This window comes from Homo sapiens, chromosome 16 (assembly GCF_000001405.40).
Source record: "Homo sapiens chromosome 16, GRCh38.p14 Primary Assembly".
In the NCBI taxonomy this organism is placed as follows: Eukaryota; Metazoa; Chordata; class Mammalia; order Primates; family Hominidae; genus Homo; species Homo sapiens.
The window spans coordinates 51,107,114-51,132,725 of NC_000016.10; the positions used below are offsets into that span (position 1 = coordinate 51,107,114).

The 25,612-nt window shown below is 44.3% G+C and overlaps 1 pseudogene, besides 1 other annotated feature; it reads left to right on the forward strand.

The window, feature by feature from the left end:
- On the forward strand, positions 467 to 907 carry SOD1P2 (superoxide dismutase 1 pseudogene 2; annotated as a pseudogene).
- Positions 5,988 to 7,618: an enhancer, noted in NCBI's record as "VISTA enhancer hs152". NCBI's record gives its function as "enhancer in: neural tube[5/6] | hindbrain (rhombencephalon)[6/6] | midbrain (mesencephalon)[6/6]" and the evidence as "EXISTENCE:transgenic organism evidence [ECO:0001131][PMID:17130149]".

The following is a 25,612-nucleotide window of genomic DNA, read 5'->3' on the forward strand; positions in this document are numbered from 1 at the left end:
ATGAAATTCAAATGGGCCTTGCAAATGTGAGTCTGGCCCCGTGAGGTGCTAAGGGAGAAGGCAGCATGCTGAAAATTCTTCCAGCACCAGCGGGGAGGCCACTGGTGAATATGGCAAGGACAGTGCAAGGTTGGAGTTTGAGACAGAGGGTTCAAATCCTGGCTGTAGCACTTGCTAGCTGCAACTCTTGGGCAAAGTCCTTTAACCTTCTCTGGCTCACAGTTTCCTTCTAATATAGTGGGCATTCTCCCCACCTCCTGAGCCTGATGCAATACAGAAGTGTCCACTGCCTGCAGCCCCTCTCCTTACCTACCTGTTCCTATATTGAAGCCAAAGTGATCTGTGTTACAGGCTCATCATTTGAAAGTCAGCATGTGCTGCCATCTCCTGCAGTGTCTCCTGTGTCCCTCACACCTCTCAGAGCCCAGACCAGAGTGTGGCCCCTGGAGTCATAATGATGAAGGTCATGTACATGTTGAAGGGCCAGAGCCCGGTGCAGGGCACCATCCACTTTGAGCAGAAGGAAAATGAACCATTTATGGTGTCAGAATGCATTACAGGATTGACTGAACGCCAGCACAGATTCCATGTTCATCAGTTTGGAGATAATACACCAGGCTGTACCAGGGCAGTTCCTTACTTTAATCCTTTAACCAAAAACCACAGTGGGCCAAGGATCAAGAGAGGCAGGTTGGAGACCTGGGTAATGTGGCCGCTGGCAAAGATGTGTCGCCAACATGTCTGTTGAAGATTCTCTGGTCTCACTCTCAGGACACTATTCCATCACTGCCCACACAATGGTGTCCATGACAAACCAGATGACTTGGGCAAAGGTGAAAATGAAGAAAGTACAAACACAGGAAATGCTAGAAGTTGTTTGGTTTGTGGTGTAATTGGGATTGCCCAATAAACATTCTCTTAAATGTGGTCTGAGTTCCATTAACTCATCTATTATCCTGCTAGCTGTAGAGATGAAATTTGATAAACATTAAACACTGAAATCTTTATTTTTTATTTTATTTTATTTTTTTTTGTGGCAGAGTCTCACTCTGTAGCCCAGGTTGGAGTGCAGTGGCATGATCTCGGCTCACTGCAAGCTCCACCTCCCAGGTTCACGCCATTCTCCTGCCTCAGCCTCCTGAGTAGCTGGGACTACAGGTGCCTGCCACCACGCCCGGCTAATTTTTTTGAAATTTTTTAGTAGAGACGGGGTTTCACCGTGTTAGCCAGGATGGTCTCGATCTCCTGACCTCATGATCTGCCTGCCTCAGCCTCCCAAAGTGCTGGGTTTACAGGCGTGAGCCACTGTGCCCGGCCTGAAATCTTTAAAAGAAAATAAAAAACTCAGCATGGCTTCTCTCCTGCCCCTGGCGTAGAGATTAACAGTCTTATGCTGGCTTCTATTTTTAAATTTTTAAAAAATAATTCCAATTAATTAATTAATTTAGAGACAGGGTCTCACTCTGTTGCCCAGGCTGAAGTACAGTGGCACAATCATGGCTCACTGCAGCTTCAACTTCCTGGACTCAAGAGATCCTCTTTCCTTGGCCTCTTGAGTAGCTGGGACCACAGGCACACACCACCATGCCCAGCCAATTTTTGTATTTTTTGTAGAGATGGGGTTTTGCCATGTTTCCCAGGCTGGTCTTGAACTCCTGAGCTCAAGTGATCTTCTCACCTTGGCCTCCCAAAATGCTGAGATTATAGGCATGAGACACCGCACCTGGCCCATATGCTGGCCGTGCCTTATTGGGATGAGGGCTATTGTGGTCTGGGTTCTGGTTCCTCGGGCTTCTTTCTGCTCTTCCATTAGGTTAGGATTCCCCTGCCCAGGGACTGTCACCACTTCCTAACCCCTCCTCCACTCTTCCTTCATGTTAGCCTGTCACTAGTTAAGTCTTTCACACAATTCAGATCTCAGCTAAACTAGAGAAGCCTTCTCTAAATCTATGCAGCAGGCGTTCTGGATCTCCTCCTTCTAGGCGCATGGGGGATTGCCCATTCCCATTCTCCTTCAAGTTGGGTGTGGCCATGTGACTTCAACTGGGGATGAAATGTGGACAGAGTGATGTGTGTTGCCTATAGGAAGAAACATGCTTTTATTTCCCCTGTGACTGTGGAAGCAGGGTTGAGATGAAGCCCCTCTCATTCTGTTTCTGAGTGAACGTAAGAAGCAGAATGTCCCTTCTGACCTACCTGAGAGAAATAAATAGCTCCTATTAACCCCATGAGGATTGAGGGCTATTTGTTACACAGCAAAACCTAACCTAACCTGCCTGATACACCCACCCTACCTTAATCGGTCCACCCTCTCCTCATGCTTGGGCAAGTCCTTATGTAACACCTTGGAGTCTGTCTCCACATTACTTACCATGACTATAAATAGTTTTGTGTAATTATTTTCTTAGTGTCTATTAGCTCCACCAGTGTTTCATAGTTCAACAGATTCAAATTTCTGATGCATAGGTCAAAGATGACTCCTACCCTCTGAGCAATATACTCTGTCTCAAGTTTGCTGTGTGACCTTGAGCAAGAGTCTTCTGCTCTCTGGGCCTTGGCTTCCTCATTTGTTAAGTGAAGGTAATCTTTTCTGGTACCTTCCATATGTGGGGTTGGGATATAATAGTAAAGTATGTATTTCTGTATTAATAAGTTGCACAAATACATCCTGTTGAGCAGGAAATCAGAATCTTCACACTGGGGTGAAGATTCAGTACCCAAGTCCTGAAAGCTGCATGGCAGCTGGCATGGCAATTCCCACTTAGAAACCTCTTTGTAGTGTCCTTAGGCAATGTCAACCCTAGGACGGCCCCCACTGAGGACAAGAATAAAAACACATTTTCTCAGAGAAGCTGGTGAGCATCCTTTCTGATTTGAAATATATGAGGGTTGCTTCGTACAACACAAAAATGAGACTGGGAAACAATAATTTTGTATCCATAGGCTACTGGCAAGAGAGAGGCTTATCTGGTCTTTGGAGCTCAAGAAACCTTCTCACTCCCTCCCTCCAAAACAAAAGAGAGTCTATGAGAACAGAACCAGTGAAGTTGCTCACATATTACAAAATCAATGCCCATCAGTGCCGAGCTGCTTGGCTGGCCCACCTGTGAACAAATGTGCCAGAGCAGACACTGCCCAACATCCACATAAGCACTGCTTCGCTCTCTGAACAGTTTTTACAGCCATAATTAGGTTTTGAAGGGATCCAGGAGAGCCCTTCACAAGGGAACAACCAAACTAAAAGGCCAAGGAGAAATCATATCCTGAGCCCTCTTAGTGGGACAACCTGTCTCTCAAATGACAATTTTTCTGTGGAGGCATGGCCTCAGGGGAGGGGTGGCCGACAACACAATGAGGTCTCCAATAAATCCTTGAGAGCCTAGCATTTCGAGACTCTCCACTGTAGCTTGGGATTCTCACGTGACTTCTGGTTTGACTCTGAAGCTGCTTGTGTCTATGTGTACTCCTAAATACAGAAAGAATCCAAATTTTCTTTCTGGAAGTCTAGGGGCAGACAGGAATCTGAGCTTCACCCTCCTTCCTTTCTGACCCCTTGTGGAAAGCTGGCTTCTAGTCTATGACAAGGCTGAGGGGTACAAGTGATGCATCCAAATGTTCTTTTAACCCTTAGTGGGCCCCAGGTCTCCACATGTCAGGGAGGATTTACTTCAGTTTCAATCTTTGTCCAAAGTCCCCATTTCTGTCTCTGCCAGGAGATAGCCTCAGAGATCAGCCCAGAGTTAATAAACAAGCTGCAGGCATCATTTGCAAAAGAAACCAGAGGCCAAGAATTACTGCATGGCAAAGGTGGTCACTTCTTGATGACCTCATCTACCCTCTGTACAAGATATGTATGTTATCTCCTTAGGAAGAAAGCCACCTGTTAGCGAGAACCGTGCCCTGCCCATGTGTACCTGCTCAGAGGCTGAGTTCTGAGAACCATGTGATTGAGAAGAGACTGAAGAGCAAGAACCCATTGTAGAGATAGGATTACTGAGGCAAGAGGAGCAACTAACTGTGATCAAAGGGAATCAAGGCCTCTCGATTTTCTCTGTGGGTTACCCACTAAACCAGAACACATGCATCAGAACCTCATGGTGCTTGTTAAAATGCATATTCCCAGGCCCTGTGCCAAGATCCACCACAACAGAAGCTCTGGAGCTGGGGCTCTGGAATCTGCAGTTCTAGCAATTTGGAAATCAGGAGCCTAGATTCATGCTTTCTCACACGCCCTCAGCCAACATGATACTGATGAGCCATGAAATCCAAGAATCTCTACAGTAAAACTTAATTCCTCCCATGTCTCTTTAAAGTTACCTTAAAAGGAGGCAGATTTGAAAGTCGACAAAGACAGCGCATTAGCAAGAGCTAAACTGGCCCAATGGACAAATACAAGTTTCTAAAAGTCCCTTTCTTCTGAATAGTATTTATCGGGTGGTTGTGGTTGCTGTTATTAAAAATCCCTTCTCTATGCACTTGTGCATAATCCAGCCTATTTCTGAAGCCGTCCAAAGGAATCTGAACCAGGTGTCACCAATTTTGGACCAGCCTCAGAGAAAAGTAGTGTGGAGACAATGTCAGGTCTCCAGTCCCAGGACTGTACCTCTCTCCAGGCCATGAATTTCAATTTCTTCCTCCTCTTCCTCTGGAAGTGAAGTTCTTCCCTGCCCTTGCCTCCTCGGAGGTACACTTCCCCTCTCAGTAAGCAGCTGCGCCCTTCTTGGCAGCTGCTGCAGATTAGTAAATTACAAGTTCGAGATTAAAAAAGAAATGACTAAAGAATAAAACCTTTAGTCTGGCGATTTGAAGTCAGACTGCCACAATGAACACCTGTTGAGAAAGACCATTATTAGAAACTGGAGGCTCTGGGTGAAAAGATCACTGTGAATTAATTTTGATTGCCTCACGAAACTCTGCATAACAAATGATCTCCAAAGGGGGTGTCATTGGACTTGCATTTGAAGGGGGTGGGGGGGAGATTTTGTTTCGAGCAAGGTAATATAAGCTCTACCATGACATTAAAATCCACCATTGGTTGCACTTGTCTGTATCCCTCTGTTGAAACAGATTGTGCATGCTAAGGTTACCATGTATTATGCTTCTGGGGAAAAAAGAGAAACAATTGATATCAAAATCTTTTAAAAAGGTTAGTTGAGAAAGCATGAGGTCAGAGACTCATGACTCCCAAATTGTTAAATCGTTTATTTATGTCTGTGTCTATGTAAATGGAGATTTGGGTGTGCTCTTGGTGATTTAACAGCCCTTGTTTTATTTTTTTAACCATATACACACACACACACACACACACACTGCACACCTCTATAATTTTTTTTGTAAGGGAAGAATAGAGTGAAAAATATGTTAAGAAATGGATTTGCTTGCAGTTGGATGACCTTTGTACTTTGTAATGTCATCAGAAATGAGAAAAAGGCGTGAGAGATCACAAGGTACTGTGGAATAGTGGGGCTGGGTGGGTGATGGGGGGAGGATACACTGAATATTAAGTAGTTTCATTCTTTCCTGAAAAGAAAGAGACTCCAACTAAAATATGCCGGCGTCCTACCTGTCTGTCAGCCCTTGATTAAATCTAAAAGCAGGCATCCCATCTGTTTGCCCAAATGAAAAGTGTAATATTCTACTAACTACTTTATATTATTACTCAACTTCAGAGTTTCCTGCAAAATGATCCTCAGTTCATCTGAAGTTTATCTGGCTCACAAAAAGAAGCTCCAGAAAGCTTTGTGCTTTTAAGCTAATAAGCAGTATACCCAGCTGACTCTGTGGCTGAATTTTCAACACTTGGCCATTAATATCACATGAATTTTCATAGCCGTGGACTTCCATTTGTTATGAGACATAAAACCTGGAAGCACTCGGAGAGCCATGGATAACTATGAATATAAGCAAAATCTTAATCCTCTGCCCCAGTCAGACTCTTCCCAATAGTGAGAGTGTGGAAGTTATACAACTGTGTTGGGTTATGTAACAATATTTCCCTGACCAAGCGTATCATTTTATTACATGATTCATAATTTGTTCTTTCAAATGTGTTGGGACTTAGCCCCAACGTCCGAGCAGAACACATGCAAGAGCCCCCATCCCCAAACCTCCAAGGGGCACCAACTCTCACAAAGTTCGAAGATGCTTCTGGTGCCTGCTTTTGTTTCTAGGTCATCAGAAAGATTTGGGGAAGCTTGCTGTGAGCGGAGCCTACTTGGGTTGCCTACAAATGCTCTCTCTCCACGAGCAAACGCTTTTAAAAAGAATTCCAATTTCTGCACGATTTGGAAAATCTCTGGGGGGTTCCTTGGAGATATTAGATAATTGAATACAGCTTTCTCCCATTGGAAAAAAAATCCTCACATCCAACAACATCCCCCTAACTCCCAACGTCCCTTAGCACACCAGTCAATTTTATGACAAAATTAATCTGCAGCGTGACTTGTGGAGCCCCAGAGGGAGGTCACGGAGGCCGGTAAATATGTAAACGTGGGTTTTTCGGTTTCCGTTTCGCATGAATACAAAATAAACTGCGGCCCTGCCCACGCTGGAAAGTTCTTCCTTAAAGTTAATAAAATCTGTCAACTTCCATAAAGGCCGAGAGAAAGGGGGTGCACAGGTGCAGACGTTCGGGCTGAGGCTCGAGAAGTCGAGGCAGCTAATAAAAAGCCCTGGGCACCGCGCGCCTCCTTCCCCATCAATTCCCATCAAGCGTTATTAGAGTCATCTGCCGTCTCCGAGGTGCGTCCCCCGCGCTCGCCCCGCAGAAGCGACAATGACATTTGGCTGCGCTGCAGGTGCGGCTGTGTGTGGCCGCGCGGCCGGAGTGGGGCCGCCTTTGTGGCGCTCGGGTCCTTTGATCTGGGCCACAAAGGGCCGAGAAGCTGCAGCCCCCGGCTTTCTGCGGACGACTCCGCCCGGGCCTGGGAGGGGGCAGGATGGGGGTGGGGGCGAGGAGGGAGGAGAGCCGGGAGAAGGAAGGGGGCCGCAGGAGGGGGTGATCCATAATATTTATTTCAACAATAGCTTCAAATCTTTTTAAACATCATAAGAACACGGCTCATTAAACCCACAACAGCCTTGAAATTGTGTTATAAAACCGCAAAACAGAAATCAATACATTTGCTAGAAAGGAGGTAATGAAATATATTGAGTTGCCTGAGAAGTGGTTTGTATGAATCATAATATTATTATGTGCGCATCAATTCCATTTCCAATACTTAAAGTTAACCAGCTAGCGAAGAGCACCCTGAACCCTCGTTAAACAAGCTCTCCCCGATTATTTGCTAGCCCAGCCCATCCTATAAATATCCTGGGGCGGGGGTCCGATCAATGCGGCCCACCCTAGAGCTTCAGCTGCTGCAGGCCTATTGCTTCCCGGCCTGATCAATACACGCTCACAATGGCCAGAAGAAAGCCAGGGGCAGGCCCGGAGCTCCAGGCTGGAGCCTCCAGCCCAGAGGAAGAGCATGGCCAGTTTCTACAAAGGGGCCTTTGGCCAGCTGCTCGTCTCCTCCCAACCAGAGACTGCAGCTTCCCTCCCCAGCCCTCTGGTGAGGAGGTCCGGGTTCCTACTGCTTCCTCTACTCTAGGGTGTGTGAATATGAGCAACCAGGTCCCTGCACTCAGCACCCTAGTATCCACCCCATGCAATGGGCAAGCTGCAATTTGTTTTCTCATTCCTTTGTTTGTGAATGATGCTGTATTCTTTACGCTGCACTGTCAGTGAATTAAAAGTGGATGCATGTTCCTCATTCTCCTTCTTGATATATTTCGAGTAGGACTCAATTCTATAATGTACAGGAAGCTGAAAATCAGGGAGAGATTCTGGTTTTCTGGGGTCTGTAGCTTATGCAATTTGGAGGAGAGGCTCTCTTCAAGAAAAATGATCATACTTTTGCAAATTTCATAAAAATATATGAACACATTGCTAAGATCGTTCCCAGGTCTTAGAGGGGGCTTGGTGGTTGGGGACCCCAAAGCTGGAGCTTCATAGCTTCTGCAGGAGTCTAAGCCAGAGGAAGGCCAGGCTCCCTGAAATTATCCATACATTTCTGTGCTGCCTCCACTTTCTGGAATGTGTGTCCCCTAAAGGATGCAACTTTGGCTTTCTTCCCTCTGTGTCCTGAGAAATAGTGACCATCACCTAATAGGTATCGGGTGAGCAGGTGGATCTGGGAGTGATTAGCTCTGTAGGGTCAGCCTGGAAGCCACAGGCTCGTGTCTCAGCCACAGCAATTTGTCTGAGGGCTTGAGATGGGCAGCCTCTTTGTACACCTTCTGGCTCCACCTGTGGCCTTTGCACCCGTGCATTTGGACTGACTTAAAACAAGAACTGGTTGACTCCTGGAACATTCTCGGGTAGTCAGTAGAACACAGGACAGCCGCATGTAAACCCTTACATGTGAACACGGGCACACACACCATGCCAGGTCAAGGAAGGCGTGACTCCCCAGGTAATCCACGTGCTGATAAGGCTCTTTCTGGTTTTGGGTTGCCACTACCTGGAAGGCAGGGAGGAGGTAGAAGGGGTGCAACGGGTGTTTAGTGAGTAGAGGCCAGGGATGCTGCCAAATATCTTACAAGGCACAGAGCAGCCTCCAAAACAAAGAATGTCCAACCCCAAATGACAATGTTGCTGAGTTTGAGGGACCTTGGGCTGAGGCTGCACCAACTTTTTTCTTTTAAGAATTTACAGTGCTGCTGTAACTGCGTCAACCACAGTTTCTTTGACATTCTCTCTAAATGGGTTTGGGGAATGCTGAAACTCCCTGTTCCTCTTCTGCTATAATATCATGGCTGGGGAACAGGACTTTTATTCCAGCCTTCCACCTGTTTACCACCAACAGCTGTTGTCCCCAGTATGCTGCTGCTGCTCCTGTTGCTGCTGCTGCTACAGCTCCAGGCCCTTGCTCTGGTGCCACTGGAGCAAAATCTCTCCCCAAGACCCCGGGTGAAGAGTGCTGCTCCAACACAACAACCAGTCACCTGCTTGCTGAGGGTTGGTTGTCATGCTCCTGCTTGGCCCACAAGGTATCTGACTTGATTCATTTCAGAATCATTGCAAAATCATTGCAGATTCTGCAGTACAAATACAGGAATCAGACAATAAATGTGCCTGTATTTCAGTATCTAAAAGCTGGGTGACAATAATTTTTCCAGCACTAGACTTTCTCCCGCTGATGTTGTTCTTATTTTCCAGCCCCCTTCTCCTTTTTCCCCTCCCCCACTGCTTGTTGTCTCGTGCTTATCCCAGAACTGATCATCCCTACCGTCCTGGCCGTCTGCAGAGACAGACTTTGCAAGAACCCAAGTTTCTGCTGTCACTGGCCAGGAGAGATCAGTGGTCACCTGAAACAGCACAAATGTGATTTTCTTTGTCTGGAGAGGGGACTGCAATTCCTGCGACATAATCCCAATTATGCACAATTAGCTGACTCAGGCCAATGCTGGCCACTTATTGACCAGGCAGATGCTCACCCAGGCTATGATTTTGTCATTGCAGAACCTGGAAACCAGTGTAATTTGAGCACAGAAAATTGAGAAATAGCCCCATATTTCCATACCTACAGATAATCCCCTTATCATATTAAGAGCCAAACTAGAAAGTAATCTGTTCTGTGTTTTTTTTTTTTAGGGTTTTATTTTATTTATTTATTTTATTTTATTTTGAGACAGAGTCTCGTTCTGTCACCCAGGCTGGAGTGCAGTGGCGTGATCTCGGCTCACTGCAAGCTCCGCCTCCCAGGTTCACGCCATTCTCCTGCCTCAGCCTCCCGAGTAGCTGGGACTACAGGCGCCTGCCACCATGCCCGGCTAATTTTTCGTATTTTTAGTGGAGATGGGGTTTCACCGTGTTAGCCAGGATGGTCTCGATCTCCTGACCTTGTGATCCGCCTGCCTCGGCTTCCCAAAGTGCTGGGATTACAGGCGTGAGCCACCGCGCCCGGCCTAGAGTTTTATTTTAAAACATTATCCTTAAAATTGTTTTTAGTTCCAGCATGAATCTGAGAAAGGAGACTAAAAGAAAAACTCTATGGGATAAAATTCTCCATATTGTAGAGCTCAGAAATGCCTAAGAAAAATTAGCCCTGATGATTTAATTGTAAAACTTTGGAGAAGGACAAAGTTTAGAAAAACAAAAAAAAAAATTGCCCAGTTCTGAACACATTAAACTAACTCAAACAAAATAACTCAATCCTCCTTTGAGTCAGAGTTTGTCATAAAAAAGTGTTTTTTTTTAAACCAAGCACACAAAACATTAGGAATTCCTCCAAAGTTTTAAGCAATTTATTCTTGTTTACTATGTTTATGATCTACAGTGTACCCATGAAGTCTGGAAACAGACAAATATTTAATAATGTGGTCAAAGACATCTTCAGTCATAAAAGCAACTCATAATATCTACATTTCTAGACTTCATGGACATCTTTTATTATCACTGTCATGTAGACAATACAAATGAAAATCTAATTAACATTTCTCATGCCATATGCAAATATGTAGGCAAGTTGAGAGTAAATGTATCTTCTTTTACCTGACAATGTATTACAGTTGTGTAAATTTTTCAGAGTACAGATCAAATTTTAAACTATTGAAGATGCCTTTGTAAAGTGAAGAATCTTTATGAGAAGTAAATTTACCAGTTCTTTAAATAGAGGTTTTCTTTTTCTTTTTTATTAAGAGGCAGGTCCTCACTACGTCATCCAGGGTGGAATGCAGTGGCTGGATTATAGCTCACTGCAGCCTCAAACTCCTAAACTCAAGTGATCCTCCTGCCTCACCCTCCCATGTAGCTGGGACTGCAGGGGTGTGCCACCATGCCTGGCTACCTTTTTTGTTTTTTGTTTTTTGATTTCAGTAGACACAGGTCTCATGATGTTTCCCAGGTTGGTCTCTAACTCCTGACTTCAAGTGATCCTCCTCGGCCTATCAGAGTGCTGGGATTTCAGGTGTAGGCCACCACACCTGGTCTAAACTAGAGGTTTTTGTAGATTGGATTTGCTTAAAGTAAGACACAAAATGATGATAGTAATCATGATGATGAAGATGAGGATAGTAGTTCATGTTCATTGAACTTTCTTATGTGACACACATTCTGCTGTGCACTTTACATGGTTTATTTCAACAGAATCTTCTTCTGTCTTTCCTGCCTGGATCAGGATACATCTTTCAGCATATAAACCCAGTACAGCAAAGATCTTTGACTTGATTTCTAGGCATGAATTCTATTATGAATTAGGCATGCAAGAACAGGAAGATCATAGAAAACTCAAAATCTACAACCCTGCATTCTGCTCCCAGCTCTTTCAAATAACAGGCTATATGACCTTGGCCAGATCACTTACCCTTTCTAGGCCTCGGTTTCCCTTAGTGTGAAGCAAAATTGTTCTAGGGCTAAAAGTTCTAGAATCATATTACCTTCAACTCTATTGATAAGAAAGCTCCCTTTGTTTTTAACAAAGAATCCAACTAACAGACGCCATTGCTTATGGGTAGGTAAAGTGTTAACCACAACCCGGACTTTCTGTTCTACTGGGAGGCCCATTGCACTAATGGAACCATTTGAAAGAAATCTTAGGAACCAATTCTAATGCTCTTACTTAGAATTGCAAAGTCAGTTTGAACCAGGGCTTGATGACTTACTTGACAACTATTTGTAAGCTTGTCTTATGCCCCACTTAGACTTCTAATTCTTGAGGGCAATGTTAATATCATATTCACATGGTATCGCCATGGTATCTGGCAGGCAGATAGATGCTGCCTAAGTAATTGTTGAATCAAAGATGAATTGTTGAATCAAGATTTGACTTGGAGATTTCTACTTGAGTTGGAGTCATTATTTTGAGAAATTCTGAAGCTGGAAGCACATTTGTCCACATTTTGAAGTTTATTCCCTACAACCACCTATTCTTAATACCTATACCACACAAGCCAACTCTAGTCCAAACTGTTTGAATCTGGGATTCAATTGACTATGAGCAAATCCCATTTGTCACACTGCCTAAGTTTACAGTCCTTTCCAGCTGGGGTTTGATCAGTTGGATCGTATGTGGGTGTGTGTTTTCAGAAGTAAGTTCTTGTGCAGCCACTTGCATGCTTTGGTATATTTTTATGTCTGCATACATGTATATCCTGCCAGTGAGAAATGTGCTGCCTTTCTACAGCCTTGCAAATCTTAAGCACTAGCTATATCATTTTCAGCATTTGAATCAATGTGTTAATGGAAAATTACAAAGAAAATGAGTATTTGGAAACCAAAGGTTGCCAACTAAGAGCAGAAAAAATAAAATACTGCACCTGAGAATTGACTTCCCATCCATCTCTTTTATTCTTGCACTTATTTTATAGCCAACATACTCTCTTTTAGCCCATGATTGCTTATTTTAAATTGTCTTCCAGTCTCAGGACTCTGTCTCTCTTCCCCAGCTCCCCCTTCTTCTCTCAGGCCTCCCAAATGATACAGTCTGTGTCATTAGCCGATGCTGTGGATTAGAGCCCAGAAAAACTTCTTGTTTTCAGCCAACCCTGGGGAGAGGAGATGAGGAGAAGGGAAAATGCCTTCCCCCAGAAGATGATCCGATAGCAAGTGAGGCTCCACTGACCCCTCACTGCCAGTCTGAGGCTCTGCAGATGAGCCCCATAAAATACTGCAGAAGGCTTAGCTGCCAACAAGCGCAGCACACAGAGATGATCTAGTCAGAGGCACGAATCGATCTCAAGACGTGAATCACTGACCTTAGCCCACGCTCACCCTCCCTAAATCCTGAGTCCATGTTAACTAAAGATTGCATTTCCGTTGTTACATCTCAGGCAGCAATTCTTGATTTCTGTTGAGTTTTATATCTCTTACCCAGCACCCATTTGGGAAGACTTTTTGTTTAATCTTCTAAATATCTGAAACACAATTCCAAACATTTCCAAGTTAAACTCCCCTTCCATTCACAATAAACCCCAGCAAGAATCTGATCGAAGAAAAGGTGCCGCAGACATTCTCTTTGTTCTGGATTGAACCAGTGGTATTTGGATCACCCAGGAGGTATATCATAACAAATTATCTCAATACCAATTGTCTCTGTGCAAAGGTTGGGTAAAGTCCCAAAGATCTAAGTCTTGGATAAAAGGGATGAGCGCATTTCTCAACAGAAGGGAAGGGGGCTGTTTTCAGTGATTTTGCCCACTAAATGTGGAATTCCCCAACAAATTCACATATTGCAAAAGCTATAAAGTTGTGAAACCTCCACTCAAGGAAAGGCTCAGGGAACACGATTCCAAACATCCACACTTAACTAAGTGCTCATCAAAACTCCTTTTTGAGTTTAGAGATCTAATTTCTCTAATGGCCAAATCACTTCTGTGTCTTAGAAAGTGTTTTCTACTGAGCTCGATCAACTAATAGCCTGGGACTGGCCTCACACACTCTCTATGCAGCAATGTTTACATGAAAGTATGGACCCAATCGAGGATGAATTCCAGAATCAGTAAGTCCATTCCTGGAGCTTAATTTTAAAAATACAATCTCTAGTTTCACTTTCCAGTTTCACTGGAATAACTGATATTTTAAAATTTCTAATAAAATAAGAATTATGCAGGTAAAATATCAGTTATTCTAGATTCTAGTAACTCAGTTATTCTAGATTCTAGTAACTAGACTTCTAATTAGCTGAGACATGATTCTAATGCAGAATCCCAGGGCAAAGTCCTGTACTTTTAATGATAGCATGCTAATTTGAATTTTAAGTGGATGTTGAATATTAACCCTGATACTGTCCTAGATAGTGAGTTTCTCAACCTCGGCACTATTGACCTTTGGGCTGGGTAATTCTTTGATGTTAGGGGGCTGTTGTGTGTGCTGTGGGATGTTTAGTAGCAACCCTGCCCTCTGCCCACTGGATGCCAATAGCAGCCCTCCTCTCCCCAGTTGTGACAACCAAAAATATCTCTGGACGTGACCAAATGTCTCTTGGGGGCAAAATTATCCCCAGTTGAGAACCACTACTCTGAACAAGGGAAAAATTCGTTTATTAGATGTTTCTATTCCATTTAAAAGAGAGCTAGCACAAAGTTAGAATGCTTTTCTGAACATAGAGTAAAATAAATAAAATTAATGATGTATTTCCATCCACATAATGGAATATTAAACAATCACTTAAAAACATGTTTGTAAAGATACTATAGGCATTAGAGAAAAGCAGAACATGGAATTATATGTTATGTGCCCTGTATGGATTCTGTAAGATATACAGATTTGAAAATATAGAAAGTATTTTAAAAGGAAAAACACAAAAATGAAAACCATAGCTCTCCGTGGGTGGTAGGACAATGCCATCTATATTTTCTTATTTAAATTTTTCTGCTTTCCCCAATTATCTACCATGAGCACGTATTTTTATAATTTCAAAATCAGACACAGAAAAAGGACAAAGAATGTTGTATTATACAGCACATGAACAAGAAAGCTGCAACATGCTGCCATCCTCTATTCCTAATTTAATTTTCTTCCACACCCTGAAGGAAGCAAAGCAATTCCTTTCCTACTCATCTGATCCTTTTCCTCATTAAACCCTCGCATCTGCTTCACTCTGCAGTCTGAAGTTTCTAAGGCCAGAACTCATGACATTATTTTATTCTACACCTTGCTTCTCAACCTGGGTGGACTCATGCATCCTTTCATTCATTCAATTCTCTGGCACTGTGTGAGGTACTGGGAATTCAGTGGGGGGAACAAGGCAGGTGGAGCCCCTACTCCCATGGAAGACAGACAGTGAATCAATAAACAAACACACAGACAAGATCATTCTAGAGAGTAACAGGGATTGTGAAGGCAATAGAGAGACTACGGGGGAAAAAAAAGAGAGAGACTATGGGAGACAGCACTACTTTAGCCTGGGTGGTCAGGGAAGGCCCCTCTGAGGAGGTGACATTTGAGCTGAGAACTGAAGAACAAAAGGAAGCCGGGTGCAGTGGCTCACGCCTGTAATCCCCACACTTTGGGGGGCCGAGGCACGCAGATAGCTTGAGCCCAGGAGCTGGAGACCAGCCTGGTGAAATTCCATCTCTACAAAAATACAAAAATTAGCCGGGCGTGGTGGTGCATGTTTGTAGTCCTACCTATTTGGGAGGCTGAGCTGGTAGGATCACTTGAGCCTGGGAGGTCGAGGCTGCAGTGAGCTGAGCTATGATTGCACCACTGTATTCCAGCCTGGGTGACAGAACAAGACCCTGTCTCAAAAAAAAAAAAAAAAAAAAAAAAAAAAAGATACAGAGAGTCACCAGGAAACTGGGAAGATTTGGGGATAGTTTTCCAGGTTTGATTTTTTTAAGTTCAAATATACAGAGCGAGCATGGCACATTCAGAGAAGAGGAGAAAGGCCATCAAAGCTGGAGATTTTCAAGAAAAGCTGGAGGCCAGGTTGGGAAGATGGCAGGACCCTGACTGCCTGGTCCTGATGCCACCAAGCTCAGGTCTACCCACATAGGGAGGTGGCAGCAGCAAATCAGAATCTTTGGGGCCAAAGCCCTGGAATTTGCATTTTACAACAAGCTTCCAAGGTGATATTGATGCACTGGAAATTTTGAGGGCCATAGCTCCAGAGTATTCCCTCACTCAAACGTTGTTGGGGTGGCTGGAACAGAGATGATGAGTGAACTAACTGTGTGGTCCACATGCCTGCAGCAACAGCAGCAGCAGCCCCTGGGAGCCTGTCAAAATGCAGAATTTCAGGCCCCTCCCCAGGTCTACCGGATTAGAATCTGCGTTTCAACAATAACATTCTATGTCATTTAAATATACATGAAAATCTGAGCAGCACTGATTCAGACCAGCATGATGTATCGTAACAAAGCTTTGACAGAGAAGAAAATGGAAGCTGTGTGATTTTTAGTGATAAATGATCAGAGAGTAACAAAATACCTGATCATACTGTGATTTTTGCTTTGGAATTAGGAGGCCACAGGTTATACCTATGTTAGCCTTTCTGGCTGAACTGTAGGGCCTGAATTGAAACCTTGAAATCTGAACTTATTGGCTCTAGAAAGATTCTTTCAAGTGGGCATTAGACCTTGAAATTTATTTTACCATTTATATATATATATATTTTTTTTTGAGACGGAGTTTCACTCTTGTTACCCAGGCTGGCGTGCAATGGTGCGATCTCGGCTCACCGCAACCTCAGTCTCCCGGGTTCAAGTGATTCTCCTGCCTCAGCCTCCCGAGTAGCTGGGATTACAGGCATGTGCCACCATGTTGGGCTAATTTTGTATTTTTAGTAGAGACAGGGTTTCTCCATGTTGGTCAGGCTGGTCTTGAACTCCTGATCTCAGGTGATCTGCCTGCCTCGGCCTCCCAAAGTGCTGGGATTACAGGCGTGAGCCACTGTGCCCAGCCCATTTAGATTATTTTTAAAAGACAGGGAATGTTCTTCATTAATGCAACTAAGCATACACATTTACTATGTTGTATAGTATTTCATATTTTAAAAAACAGAAATGCAAACACTGCGGAATCAGTAGAGACTTCTTTCACTAACCTTTAACAATCATGAATCTCACTCATTGCCCTTTTCCTCTTCCCCACGATACTTTGCAACACTTTACACGTCTCCTTGGCGTGGTCATCTATGTGATCTTCCTTGACTCTGTAAAATGTCTCTCTCTTTTTCTCTAATTAACATGGACTTTTTTTTTTTTTTAATTGCAACAGCTTTTGGTAATTTTAGGACAGGTCTTGCTTCTTTTCTTTCAGTGGTCAGAAAAAGACCACGTTTATCCAAGCCCTGTGCCTATGCTATAGCTCTCTAATCAAGAAATGTTTCTTTCAACTGACCACGGCTCCTAACTTTATCTCTTTGTCCTTTGAAGCCGATAGCTATTATTTCTAACGACCATCACTAATTCAAGAATAAACACTCTGTTTTCTCCCAAATTGCTACATTCTGTTAAAGGGAACTAGAATTAAAATCCCAATTTCTATCAGCACTCTATTTTATGAAAGGGTACTAAAGTAGGATGCCACAAGGCTTGAGAGCAGAAGCAAAGCGTGACTTCTCTGTGCTCCCTGAGTGGCCCCTTCTCCCACTGTGACGGTCAAGTCCACCTACTTACGGGTGTTCTCAGATTGACTCTACGTGGTGAATGAGGACTCAAAGATAAGGACTGCTACCTTTCTTTTTTCTTTTTCTTTGTTTGTTTGGGGGCATGGACGGCTACTGTTTTTTTTTTTTCCCCTGTATCATCATAAAGACATTTATTCTGGAAAAGATTTGATCTTTGCCCCTTATCTGGCTGGAAGTAATTTAGACAAGAAGGGGACCTTGCCTGGGGAGGAACAATCTCCCCCAGAACCACGATGGGGGCTGTTTTTTCAGGTTTCAGATGCAGCCTGTGACTGTCTTGGTTACGCTCTTGTGAAAAGGATCCTTCCTGCATCTAGAACTTCTACAGCAGTAGGGCTTTCTGGTCCTCCAGACTTCCAGAAGCAGAAGCCTCAGGAAATGAGGCCACTTATTTAGCTTGTTCATGGCCATTGGTTGTTTGGTCTATGTCTCACCGCATTGGCTGTTGCCTTGCTCTGTGCCCCAATAATACAGAATGTAAATATCTCTACAGCAGTTATTGCGGTTACGAGGATCTGTTATTCCACTTGGGCAATGCAATAGCTTTTAGAAAAGGATCTGCCTAAAGCCACGTAAATTACTCGTCCAGACATTTCACAAGAGTATAAGCAACCTGAGGGCAGACACTTATTTTGCTTTGGGCACTGATGAACCTCAGCACCTAGAACAGTGCCCAGTGCAGAGTAGATGCTCATTAACCATTTGCTGAGTAAATGAATGAAATCCACCTGGTCAGTCAGGCACATTCCCAGGGCCTGAGAAGGACTTCCTGGGCCCCTGTCCCTTTCTGTGGCTTCGCTTTAGTGTTCTGTGTGTCTAGAACACTTCACTGCGCTCTGTGAGCTCGCACAGTGATCACCACTGCTTTGTGAGCACCAGAGGGCAATCCTGGTGCTTACCAAACTGCCTGGCACTTAGGAGGTGTTTAACAGTTTACTATTTGATGAGGGAAGGAAGCAGGAGAGGGCAGAGGGAAGGTGGGAGGGAGGGTCTGGGTAAGTGGTTAATTAGAGATTGTTCTCTTTAGCTAACTCAGTCCCTTCTGGGGTAAGCTAACCTTTTTAGCTTTTGTTGTGACCAGGCCTGAGTTGAAACTTCAGACACAAATGAAGTACAGCCTTGTGGCCAGAGAGCAAATACAACTTTCAAAATAGTGAGTGTTGGCCAGGCGCAGTGGCTTATGCCTGTAATCCCAGGAATTTGAGAGGCTATGTGGGGAGAGCTTGAGTCTAGGAGTTCAAGACCAGCCTGGGAAACACAGCCTGTCTCTTCAAAAAAATTTTTTAAAAATTAGCAGAGCATAGTGGTGCATGCCTGTAGTACTAGCTAATCAGGAGGCTGAGGTGGGAGGATGGCTTAAGCCTAGGGGTTGAAGTTGCAGTGAGCTATGACTGTGCCACTGCACTCCAGCCTAGGCAACTGAGAAAGATCCTACCTCAAAAAAAAAAAAAAAAAAATAGTGGGTGTTTCCTTGGAAAGAGCACTGGGCTCACAGGGAAACATCCTGAATTTAAATAGCTCCCTATCATGTACTATCAAACCTCAGAGTTCACAGTAAATCCTCTAGACCCCCATTTCCTCACCTGAGAAGAGGGAATGGTGGTGCCATCTGCTCTGCACTGTACAGTTAATAAAAACAGAATGTGAAAGTCCCTTTAAAGCACAAAGCCTCAGCATGCAAAGGATCATCAGCAAAACTCCCTCTCCCGCTGTCAGGGTCAGCTTCCAGCCCTTGGGTTCTTTTTCTCCCTTTCTCTGTCTAGCATCTCCCACAAGAAATTCTGCAGGAAATCCAGGGTCCTGTCTGAACCCAAAGGTTGGCTTCCGGGTGGAGCCCTTCTCTTGAAATTACCTGTAGGCTGTGCATGGCCTTCTTTGGTATCTTTGTCTCTTTACCTTGAAGGTGTCTGAGTTGGGGCCATTCCACCGCAACCTGCCCCTGCTGGACTCATCTGTGGTTGCACTCATCATGAAAGCAAAGTCTTTCTGTCTCTCGGCCTTCCTTTCCTCCCTTGCAAGAAGTCAAACCTGACAGAGGTCGGCAGGCGGGTGGATGAGTGAGATGGCTGGGTGGGAATGAAAAAAAGGTGGAGAGCACATTTGTTCCCTCCAAAGGGGATGGTCATGCCTTTGTGCCAGCCCATTGTTGAAATGTGGGAAGGCAAGAACACTAGATCATCTGACATTCAAAAAAAAATCTGGAAATCTGAACTTTTATAGGAGACCTCCTGACTTTTAAACATTGGCAACACTTACAAATTTGTTAACTATGCTGCCTGAGCCAACTAAAACACATCTGTGAGCCCAGCGCAGTCTGTGAGTCTCCAATTTGTGACCTGGGGGCTCTGGGCACCTTTTTAGCTCTGAGAGCCATGGTCTTTCTGAACTGTGAACTCTGCTAAAAAATAAAAATAAAAATAAAATACCCAAAGCTCTTTTCATACTTCCTTTTCTTCTTAGGTCCTCATTGTGCCTCACCTGAGCTATTGTGACAGCTTCTCTCTAACCTGGTAGGAATCTGATTTGGAAATAGGGTCTTTGCAGATATAATCAAGATAAGATGAAGTCCGTGGAGTAGACATTAATTCAGTATGGCTGATGTCTTTCTAAGAAGAGAAGAGACACAGAGACAGGTACAGACACAGAGGGAGATGAGGTGGAGATTGTCATGCGATGGTGAAGGCAGAGACTGGAGTGGTGCGTCTACAAGTCAAGGAGTGCCAAGGACTGCCAGTGACACCAGAAGCTAAAAGAAAGGCATGGAACAGATTCTGCCCTTCAGGCATCAGAGAGAACACTGCTCTGCCAGCACCTTGATTTCAGACTCCTCGCTTCCCAACAGTGAGAGAATACATTTCTATTGCTTTATTTGTTACAGCAGCCCTAGGAAACCAACACATTGGCCAATCAGGGGATGAGCGCCTAGAAAAGAAAGAAGCTCACCCTACCCATCTTCTCACCCCTTCTCACTTCTCCGATAGCATATCCAGACTACGAAAACCTGACCTTCCTCTCAGATTTCCTGTTTCCCAAAATTTTAACAATTTCTCTAAACATTTCCTTGATTTTCCAGGAATTTTCAAATCTAGCTTTGTGCGAACAAGAAAACATGAATTGCATTGATCCTCTTCACATAGAGACAAAAAAATGCCAGCTGCCCGTGCCTGCAAACTACTTCTTCACAGCAATAACTCAGATGCAACTTTTCCTCCTTGGTGAAAGATAGCATGACTTGCAGTCTGTGAGAAGGAAAAGGAAAAACAGTTGATTTGTTTTCCCATGAGAGGGAAAAAGAAGGAGGGGATACAAGCTCACACACTATCAGGTGGATGGATCATTTCCTCCACTGAAAAGATACACAAATAATTTGATCTCTAAGCATTAGCAAGGTCTTTGTAGGGTACGTAGTGAGGATCACATGCATGAAGAATCCATTGCTCGCTGAAAGAAGATCTTGGAATGAGTGCGTGGATCCACAATTCATGTAGATGGCTGCTATTTCTGTCTGCACTGCATGCTGAGCATGAGGGACTCTGGGTAGGAGAGCTCTTCTGGGAGAAGGAGGAGTTTAGAGAGCAAATCTCTTGCCTGTAGATCGCTAAGAATTCTTCTTCTGGAGACCTATATATAAAGTAGAGAAAGTTAAGAACATCAGAGTGGGGAAGGTGCAGGGTGAGGTTTCTTTCTTTTATAATTCCAGACCTGGGGTTTAGTTAGGGAGGGACCGTTAGCAGGTTTCTCAGGGAGACTTGAGATAGGGCAAAATAGCAGCATAGTGATGAAGAACCGGCATGTGTGCTCTGTAGCCAGGAGGTCTGGGTTCACATTCTTGTTGCTTACCAGGTGTGTGACCTTAGACATTTCACTTAACCTCTCTGCGCCTTAGTTTCCTTATCCATAGAATGGGGTCAATGATAACACCTACCTCTTGTCATAGTTACAGGGATTAAATGAGTTAATTCAAATAAAGCATCTAAAGCCATGTCTGACACGGTTATCATTGCATACATCTTACTGTCATTACTAAATACATCTTATTGAAATGGTTAACTGTGCCCCGGTGATGCTAAGTAAGGAATCGCTCCCAAGCTGGTGGCTTAAAACAAGCACCGTTTATTCCTACAGAACCGTGGGTAGGCTCTGTGTGGCTGGGTTCACTCTGGTACATCTAGGTTGGGGTTGGCTGGGGTTGGCTGGGGATAGCTCCGCTCCACAGGGCTTCCACTCTTTTCCTGAGAGCAGCCGGCACGTGCTTCTCATGTCACGTGCTTCTCAGAGGTGCAAGGGCACAAGTAGAAACATGCAGGCTTCTTGAGGCCTGGCTCAGAACTGGCACACCATAGCATCGACCTCACTCTCCTGACCAAAGCAAGCCACATAGTCAAACCCAAAGAGGCAGGGAAGTGGGGAGGGACTGTAAGTTACCTGGCAAAGGGCATGGATCGAAGAGGCTGAAGAGCTGATGCCGATAAAGGAACTACTAGGGTGGGTTTTTTTTTTTTAAATTATTATTTAAACAGGAAGTATTGAATTGAGAACCAAGAATGAGTTAGTGTATCTTATCTTCAACTCATAAGTTGACCTTGGGCAAGTCACTTCTGCTCCCAGATTGAGAGGGATAATTCTAAATGACTCAGGCCTCAACTCAGACCAACCTCTATATAGCCAAAGAAGTTCCTCCCTGGCCACTCTTAGCTCTGGACATTTAGGTAAATAAGTGTGTGTGTGTGTGTGTGTGTGTGTGTGCGCGCGCGTGTGTGTGTTAGAGTTGGAATCTTATCTTTGTTGAAGTCCTCAGACAACCTCCCTATCAGAGCAGCATTTCTACAAGGACTCTTCTAGGAATGACTTCTTAGGACTTTATACTATTAGGCTATGCTAAACCCCACAGTTAATACACAGTGACTAAGGGTGCCTAGAAATGGCAGGATTTGGGAGGGATGTTATCTTAGTTACCCAAGACTGGGCCCAATTACCAATGGGGGAGGGATCTTAAAGAGACAGTGCCGCTTGCTGCAGTCATTAAGCTTTCCTGCTCAAGGTTTTTCTTTCCCCTTCTGCACTCATGCGTGTGTTTAAGGAGAAATCCCCTTGACGACGAAATGCTATTAAAATCCTCCAAGTGGAAGCAGCCTACGAGGGGAGAACACACACAAGCCAGCACCAGGAGCCAGCGCTGGCCTCTTTCCTCGCAGAAGCAGCAGCTAGAAAACTCTGCACAGTGGATGAGTGATGGCAGAGACTCTGGAATCCACTTCGTCTTCATGTGTCTTCATCCCTGCTCTCTTGATCCTCAAAAACCTGAGTGTCAGTCCTCTCTCTGAGGACCCTGGTTCTGTGTTTCAGCTGAGAAACAGAGAGGATAACCATATCTTTTAGAGTCTTTGTCAATAGCTTTCAAACATTTTTAAACGAAGAATTATGTGTAATTAATATTACTGTAGCTTTTATTCTTTAAATGATAATAATTGTATGGGGTACATAGTGATGTTTTGATACATATAATGTATAGCGATCAGAATGGGGTAATTAGCATATCCATCATTTGAAATATTTATCATTTCTTTATGTTTCAAACTTTTTTTTAAAAATTTTTTTGGCACAGAGTCTTGCTCTGTTACCCAGGCTGGAGTGCAGTGGTACAATCTCGGCCCACTGCAACTTCTGTCTCCCAGGCTCAATGGATCCTCCCACCTCAGCTTCCTGAGTAGTTGAGGCTACAGGCACATGCCACCACACCTGGCTAATTATTGTAGTTTTTGTAGAGACAGGGTTTCACCATGTTGTCCAGGCTGGTCTCAAACTCAGACTCCTGGATTCAGGCAATCTGCCCACATTGGCCTCCCAAAGTGCTGGGATTACAGGGCACGAGCCACTGCACCTGGCCCATTTCAAAGTTGTTTTTTTTTTTTTTTTTTTGAGATGGGTCTTGCTCTGTTGCTCAGGCTGGAATGCAATGGCACAATCTCGGCTCACTGCAACCTCTGCCTCCCAGGTTCAAGCCATTCTCCTGCCTCAGCCTCCCGAGTATATGAGATTACAGGCGCGCGCCACCACGCCTGGCTAATTTTTGTATTTTTAGTAGAGACAAAGTTTTACCACATTGGCCAGGCTGGTCTCGAACTCCTGACCTCAGGTGATCCTCCCTCCTCGGCCTCCCAAAGTGCTGGGATTACAAGCCTGAGACACCATGCCCGACTCAAACTTTTTTGATGTCAACTCACGCTAAGAACGGCACCATGCCCAGTGCACACATATATATAACTGAAATAAAAGCTTCACAAGACACCACTTACCCTTACTACATGTGGTATACTCTGATATTTTCTGTTCTATTACATTAAAAAAAATAGTCCTGGCGATTATATATTCTGATTTCATAATGCACCAGTGGGTCACATCCTGCAGTTTGGAAAACTCTAGGCCGGGTCTAAGGTATGTATTGACAGATATGGGCAGTGAGATGGGGTTTAAATAAAACTCTGTAAGACTTACAGACCTCATGCTTGTCTGAAACAAGAGACAGATGGTTAGAAGAGAACCCAGAAAGGGTGTCGATGAGTGAAGCCGTGGGATTTGTTCAGATTACTTTGAATTTGGGGAACGTCACCAGTGTAAAACCATTCTGCACTATAAGGGTTTCTCTGGCACAGGATTAGAAAGACTATTGGAGATAAATGAATTTAATGTTTCCCATTCCTTTTGAAATAAATATACTTAAGTTTTAAAAGGGGAGTCAGCTTAAATTATTAAATAAGTAAAAGTAAAGATGGGATTCCACTAATGTAGTTATAAACATGGCAAGAGTTTGAAGGAAGCTACTGGAGCCTATTGATGGAAGTCTAACCTCTCATGGTACAGTTTGGGGAATGGTACCATTGATCAGGCAATGATTGCCAAATGCCCAAAGTTGGCATTCAGGCTAGTGATAGCTCCAGGTCTCCTGGTGTCCAAATGTTCCTTCTCTGCTCTCAGGGCCTTAGTTTTGTCATCTGTTAAGTGGATTGTTACGATGACAAGCAAGATGAGACATGGAGAATTCCAAATTCTGAATACAGAAGCAGGTCTGCAGGCTGATTAGTATAGTTATGTTTTGTCTGGCCCTAATCTCAGGAGTGGGGTCTACCATGTTTACATGTTTACCCTTGTTTCCAGGTGACTTCCAGGACCTCATCCTGAATGTAGTTGGGATGAGAAGATGATGTGACCTCCTGGTCTCCAGGCATCCATGACCTAACAGACTGCACTGTGTCAGGATTCAGCTATGCCTGGTGCAGCTGGACTAGGTCCCACTCTGGGTCTTATAAGGAAGGATCGACTTGTGTGTGGCCTCCAATGCAGTTTCACTTGTCTTCAAAGCCCTCCGCAGAATGTAAGTAAAAATCTGATCCTGGAATTGCCCTTGGCGAGGTGAGCAGCCAGGGGCCACACACAGAAAACAGTCTGTTCCTGGTGGCGTTCGGAAAGGCCAGTCACACTTGCCACCCCCGTTGTCATCGTCCCTAGCTTCAGAAAGCACTGGAGCCAGGTTGACATGCGGCCGATGAGTCTTTGTTCAACTTGAGCTCAGATGGACACAGAAACATGAGAGGAGCCAAGTCCTATGTTTAAACAGTTAAGAGGAAGCCAGGCTCAGTAAGGAACTACAACCCGGGATTTAGCCTGGTCCAATTTTCCTTCTCTGGGATTTCCTGTCCTTTTTTGTAGATGTTTCTATCTATCGAATGTTCCCTGGTCATTGGTTGAAGGCCATCAAGTCGGCGGTGAAAGTCTTACCCAGTACTTACACAGTACTTCAGCTTAGCTGCGAAAATATCAATGAGCTGCCGAACTGTGTGGACCCCAAGCCAGGCTGATGGGACACACGTGCCAGGCCTCTGTCCATCTGCCCTTCACGGTGGAAAAAGAGCCCAAACTTTAAGACTGGGCTTAAACAAAGCATCCACACAAAGAAGTCCAGCCTGCTACCCCAACAACTGCCAGGGGGGCAGGCCACATTGGGGTTGGTGGGGGACAGAAAACCGGTGGGTCTTTAAGGAATGCAAAAGAAGGGAACCCCAAAGGCCCCCTGCAATGTCCTCAGACTGCAGTTAAAATTTAACAAATTTTTAATGTAAATCATCTGGCATACTCAATTGCATGGGGTACACGGGATGGGTGGGGGTGAGGGGTGGCAGCAGGGAGGGAACAATGGCTAGGATTAGATAATTTACTTAGTGCTAAAATTCCAGGAAGTTTGTGTTGATCTGGGCCTGGATCTTGTTACTTTTTAGCTCAAATCTAAATCTTTATCTTCCTCTAAGAGTTGAGAGGACATTTATTACGTCGTCATTTTTACAGTTGTAATTTTTACTCCCTTTCATCAAATAGAGCTGGTTAGATTAGCAGCTCTTAGCACTGAGATGAAAATATTGGTAGGGCCCAATGGGTCCTGTTTTGTTTATTCTAACAGAGCAGGCTTTGATCTAGACATATTTCCTGGGGTCTGGACGAGATGA